Raw genomic sequence first — 5,806 nt, 5'->3', positions numbered from 1 at the left:
AATAACAATCGTGGCGTCATCATCATCACATGCTTACTGTGAACAGATGAGGGGTCCACGGCTCAGAGGAGTTAAGAACTTGGCCAAGTTTTGCCCATGTGTTAGAATGGGGATTTGCACCCCCAGAAGCCTGGAGTAAGAGGTGAAAACCTCCACAAGCAAGGCTGCAGTGGACACGGAGCTGTCTCCTTGGGGCTGGGTGCCCTGGTGTGGCCTGCCCATCCCTCAGCCCTGCCCACTGGGTGGGATAAACATCTTCCTCAACGACTGCTCCCACGGCCGGTTGCCATGGTTACCTCTGGGTACCATCTGAATATTGAAGGACAGTGATGGTAACCGCAGCCACTGTCACCGCCTCTGTTTGACATTCCTACCCACCTCCCACACCAATTCCTAGTACAACTGGGGCTGGAGAGTGGGAAGGGGGTAGGCCTGGTTGCCGTGAGAACAAAAGAGAGCAGCTTCTCATGACCTCATCTCTAGAAATCCTGGGAGCTTGGCAGCTGCGGCTGGGAGTTATTACTGCTCTGATGTCTTCCCTCCCCTTCCAAGTTTCCCCAGCCTCAGCATAAGCAGGAGCCTGCCTGCCAGTCTGCATGTGCTGTTCATGCCTGCGCCTCTTGTGTACAATGATTATTCTAGATCCCTGTCTTGCCTATCTCTCTCCCTTCCTCCTTCTCTTCCTTCTGCCCCCCACAGAAATGCACTGTCTTATAAAGGATGCAGCCCTTTGCTGGTGTGTTATTATGCTTCAGAGAGAGGCCTGTAGAGTTCTGACTGGCCCCTCCTGGAGCTCTGAGAGTTTCAGTGATGATCCCCATCTCCTCATCTGTAAAATGGGGACAAGGGCTGTTGGAAAGATTAAGTAAGGGCAATAGCCGAAACATTAAGAGCTTGATCCCTGAATTGGACAGACTTGCATTTAAATCCTGATGTCTCACTGCGCCACCTGAGGCAAGTTAATTTTCTGAGCCTCCATTTCTTCTTCCATGAGGATAATAGGTGTATCTACCACGCAGGGATTTAATTTACTAATGATTAAAGCATGGAGCCTTTCTTTGTCCCAGTGCCCTTGCCTGCTTCATGACCCTCTAAGCCTTTGAGTCTGCAAAGGGCAATGACCTTTGTTCTCCCTTGTTCCCAACCAAGGGCAGTGACATGAGACTCTGCCCTTCACTGAGAAAGAACAGCTCGGCTTCCAGCCGGATACGAGCAAGGCAGATAAGACACCTCCGCTTCCTCTTTTGAATCCTGTGGCTGTCACCAGCCTCTGATAAGATAGCACCAGCTGGGTGGCCCCACAGCTCCAGTGGGAGATTAAGAGCTTGGGTTTGACAGGGGTAGGGTGCTTTTTAAGCTTGTAGTAGTGGCACCCTTGATCGGTTTGCGGCACAGGGCAAAGGTGGCGGAGCTTGAGGAGGAGGAAAAGGGAAGGATCTGCAAAATTCCTTTTCCCCCAAAATATTGATCCTTCCATCATCCTTCCCACAAACCCTCAAGACACTGTCACAGCGCAGGAGGGAATCAGGGAGACAGGAGGTCCTCCAAATCCATCATGAGCTTTGGGCTATTTTTAAAGTCTCCAAGAATTTGAGTGAAAATGTGCAAGTATGTGCATTTCACTACGGTGAGAGAGAACAGAGTGTTCATTCAATTATCAAGGGCAGGGTTCTTCAAGCAGCAGCCTTGTTATGGTGTGCTGGCATCTGCCTGTACCAACTTTCAAGAGCCAATTGTTAAGTATTTAGGAATTGTGTGAGCCAGTTGTGAAACGCAACATTAAATACTAAATTACAGAAAATTACAATTAAATAAATTATACTAAAAATACTTATCATTTCCTAATTATTCTATTTCTCATTCCTTTTACCTATGCTTTTGTATCTAATACTACATAATGGTGTGTTACGGAACATCTCTTCCCAACTCAACATTCAGTGACATCACATGGATAGCTTGAAATTGGCCATGGTGGGAGTATTTACACCCCCGGAAACTGGCAAATGCTACAAACCAGCCAGCCCTCTCCCAGGGCCCAAGTCCTTGTTAAACATTTACCAGCACATTCTAGTCCCTGCACCACCCACAACAGAGGTATCTAGGTGGTCTATTACAAATACAGACCCAGAGCCGCTCTCTAGACACACTGAATCAAAATGTCTGGGTTTGGGGCCCAATAATCTACATTTAGAGAGCTCCCCCTGAGATTCATAAGCACACCGAGAACTTTGGGAGATTGGAAGGGAATAAGGGAGGAAAGAATGTGGAAGGGAATGAGAGGGGGAAGGAGGAATGTGGAAGAAAACAGGAGGCAGAAGAAAGGGTTCCCAAAATAACTTTTCCCTGGACTAGCCATAGGACAATTTTAAAGTGATTGAAGGCTGAATTGTACTATCTACTCTTTATTATTATTATTGTATTGTATTGTATTATTGTATTGAGAGAGACATCTATTAAGCACTTACTACGGTTCAGGCACAATGCTAAGTGCCTTAAGTGTATGTTTCATTCATATATCACCTTGATGTAAAAGTTATTTATTGTTCCCATTTTACAGGTGAGGAAACTGAAGCTTAGGCTAAAGTGCATTGACCAAGGTCCACACTCAGCAAGAGTTAGAGGCAAAATTCAAACCACAGGAGTGGTGGGCTGAGTCAGCTCTAGTGACTGGACTCCAGAAGTGGTGATCTGAGTCAGCGCTAGTGGCCGGCACATGGAAGGGCCTTGGTAAACATTGGTGGGTGGACTTATCCCAAGGGCGCTACCATGTCAGAGCCGTGTTTTCTCTAGAATGAGTTTTAAACTCGTGATGATTTCTTGAGTGCCATTAACCGTCTCACATAAGCAAGGATAAATGCAGCTCATCTCAAGATGTGTACAATTCAGACAGAACATGCAGGGGCCGGGCATCTGAGAGATGGCCCATGCTGTGGTTCACAGAGCAAAGGGCTCTTCTCACACGGTTCCTCACTGGCTCATCCTTCAGTTCCTTGGCTGGGCCAAATGCCTGCACTCAACCCATGTTGGTCAGAAAGAAAATGTAGATGTCAGTGATCAGAAGCTCCCAACCTGGTCTGGCAGATTAAGACAAAAATCAACCTGAAAAATTAGAAACGCTACAGGAGTCAACCAAGAAAACCAAGCCACCATCTCTTATAAGAAATTTAGCTCACAAACATATTTAGTTAGGTTCAAGTTGAATGATGAAGAATCATTAAAAAAAAAAGAAAAACAAAAATATATTAAAAAACATATTTAGTTTGGGAGAGAGTAGGCAACTCTGGTGGGGGTGCAGGAGGCTCAGAGTGGAGTTGTGAGAGATGAAAATGGGGAGTTAAGTTGGATCATGTTGGAAAGGTTGGCCAGGATGGCTGACTCTAGAAGTCAGAGAAGGATATTGAGTGCTGTAAGAGTGAAAATAAGTTCATAAGGGCCATGCTTGGGAAGCTCTTGGGGGGCCCTGGAAGTGCCCAACTCTGTTGGTATGAGGCTGTTTGTCAGTTCTGTTGGTAGCCTACACTGATCACCTGGGGGCAGGAGTCAAGAGGTGGTGGTGAGCTGGGAATGCCCCTGTAAGGCCTGGAGCCCAGTCTGGCTGGGTTCCTCTTGGCTTCCAAAGGACTCCAGGGCAGTGTTCAGCTGAGGCCACGAGAAAGCTTTTTCTGCTCTCCATTCTCCATCATATGGGCCGCTAAGAGCAGGGGTTCCCCAAACTGAGATCTGTAGGCATTCTGGAAAAAAGACAGCCTCATAGTTAGTTGAGTTGGGGAGTTGCTACATGTGCTATCCTTTCCTTAGAGATTGCAATGATCACATTAAAAGCTCTGAAAAGTTCTGCAGACAAAAAAAAACACTTTCAAATTTGTAATTCATTTAGAATTGCTGGAGGTAGCAGACAATGGCAGGGCTCCACTCAGATAGACACAGATCTCTAGTTTCTGTTTCTGCCCCACCCCTGGTTTCTGCGTGCTTTCATAAAAGTGCTCCAAAATTTACTTCCCCTAGGGACAACCATCCACTAGTGAACAATATGTTGTCCTAGGTGGGGCAGCTCTGAGACATTTTTCAGAGTTGATAGTTCCCCTGTGGGACCAGCCTAACACTATCCTCTATGGGACATTGCCCAGGATCAGTTCTTCCTTTGCACATGAGTCCTCAGCTCAGGGTCAGCTACTTGGGAACCAGACCTAAAACACCTGCTTTCTCCAACATTCAGGCTGTTTGTGTCTGAAACATCTTTCAGTATCATTTAGATCTAGTATTATTTGGCACATACTTTGAAAAACTCCTCCTTGGAGAAAAATTCATCCCCTGAAATGATTTTCTGGAGAAGAAGAGCCTGAGGGGAAAAAACAAAACAAAAGCCTCCTTTGGAGCCTATCGCTAGCTCAGCCCTCTTTCTCTGGAGCCCTTCTGTGCTGTCCTCAAACACTGTCAGAGTTTCTGCAAGAGGCCTGCTATGGTCTGAGTATGGCTTGTCCCCAACAAAACTCACATTGAGGCTTTGTCCCCAACATGACGGTGTTGTGAGGTGGTGGGATCTTTAAGAGGTGTTGGGTCATGAGAAGTACATTCACATGAAGGGATTAATGCAGTCTCTCTGGAGGGATTGAATTAGTTACTGCCAGAGTGGCAGTAAGGCAAGTCAGCAGCAAGGCTGAGTCTTGTATTTGCTCTCTTTTGCACACCACTTCCCCTTCAGCTTCCCTGCTGTGTTACAACATAGCACAAGGCCCTCACCAAAAGCCAACCAGATGCTGGCACCATTCTTCTTGGACTTCCCAGTCTCCAGAACCATGAGCTAAATGAAACTCTTTTCTTTATAAATCATCCAGTCTCAGGTATTCTGTTATAGCAACACAACAAGACTATGACAGGGCTGAAAAGAGATGTCCTTTGTCAGTGTCCAGCTTGCATTTCAGGAGCATGCCTTGGGGAATTGTCTATTTGGTGACTGGATTTTTCAGGAAAGCATAATTCACCTTTACGACAGTGCACATTTGTTTTTGGAGAATGTGGTCAGATCTCCCTTTCCTACTGTCTTGAATCCATTTCTGTGCATTATGAGATTTGCCTGGATCAGAAAGTCACAAATTCAAATGTCTGCATTGGCCAGACAAGTAATGCAAATGAGTGAATCAGACCCGATATAAAGCAATTGGGAGCGATGGGGACTGGGACAAAAGGGGGAGCACATGCCCCATCTAAGGGGGCAGCCGCCAGCAGCCCCAAGCCAATTGCCACTTGGCAGGGATTAGACCTAGGTGCTGGGATTTTTTTTATAAGAGAAGCCAGAGATACAGATTTTATTTGAGATATCTTGACTTTCTAATATTGGCAAATAGTTCAAAAGTTTTTAAACTATGCGACCAAGCAGTACAGATTCACCAGCTTGATGAGAGATGCCAGGTTATGATCTTGATCTTGGTGATCTACAAAAGGTCAAAAGTAGAGTGAGGAGAGACTTAGCCATGGAATACGAGGTCGCAAGCTCACCCTCTGTCACAGTGCTGTGCTCTCCCTTTACACATCCTGGCCCGTCTGCCTGCAACACACATCCCTCCACTGTTTGCCTGGTTACCTCCTTTTCATCCTTTAGACTGGGGTCCACAAACTCTGACCTGTTAGGTCTGTGGTCTGTTAGGAACTGGGCTGTACAGCAGGAGATGAACCGCGGGCAAGTGAGCGAAGCTTCGTCTGTATTTACAGCCAATCTCCATCACTCACATTGCAACCTGAGCTCTGCCTCCTGTCAGATCAGTGGTGGCATTAGATTCTCATAGGAGTGTGAACCCTATGGTGAACT

The 5,806-nt window shown here is 46.4% G+C and overlaps 1 annotated feature.

Annotated features, from left to right (window-relative positions):
- Positions 3,826-3,925: an enhancer, noted in NCBI's record as "active region_20072". NCBI's record gives its function as "activates an Ori minimal core promoter by ATAC-STARR-seq in GM12878 lymphoblastoid cells {active_cell/tissue: GM12878}" and the evidence as "EXISTENCE:reporter gene assay evidence [ECO:0000049][PMID:35858748]".

Source organism: Homo sapiens, chromosome 3 (assembly GCF_000001405.40).
Source record: "Homo sapiens chromosome 3, GRCh38.p14 Primary Assembly".
In the NCBI taxonomy this organism is placed as follows: Eukaryota; Metazoa; Chordata; class Mammalia; order Primates; family Hominidae; genus Homo; species Homo sapiens.
The sequence above is the reverse complement of the archived record's forward strand: the minus strand, read 5'-3'. Positions and strand labels throughout refer to the sequence as shown.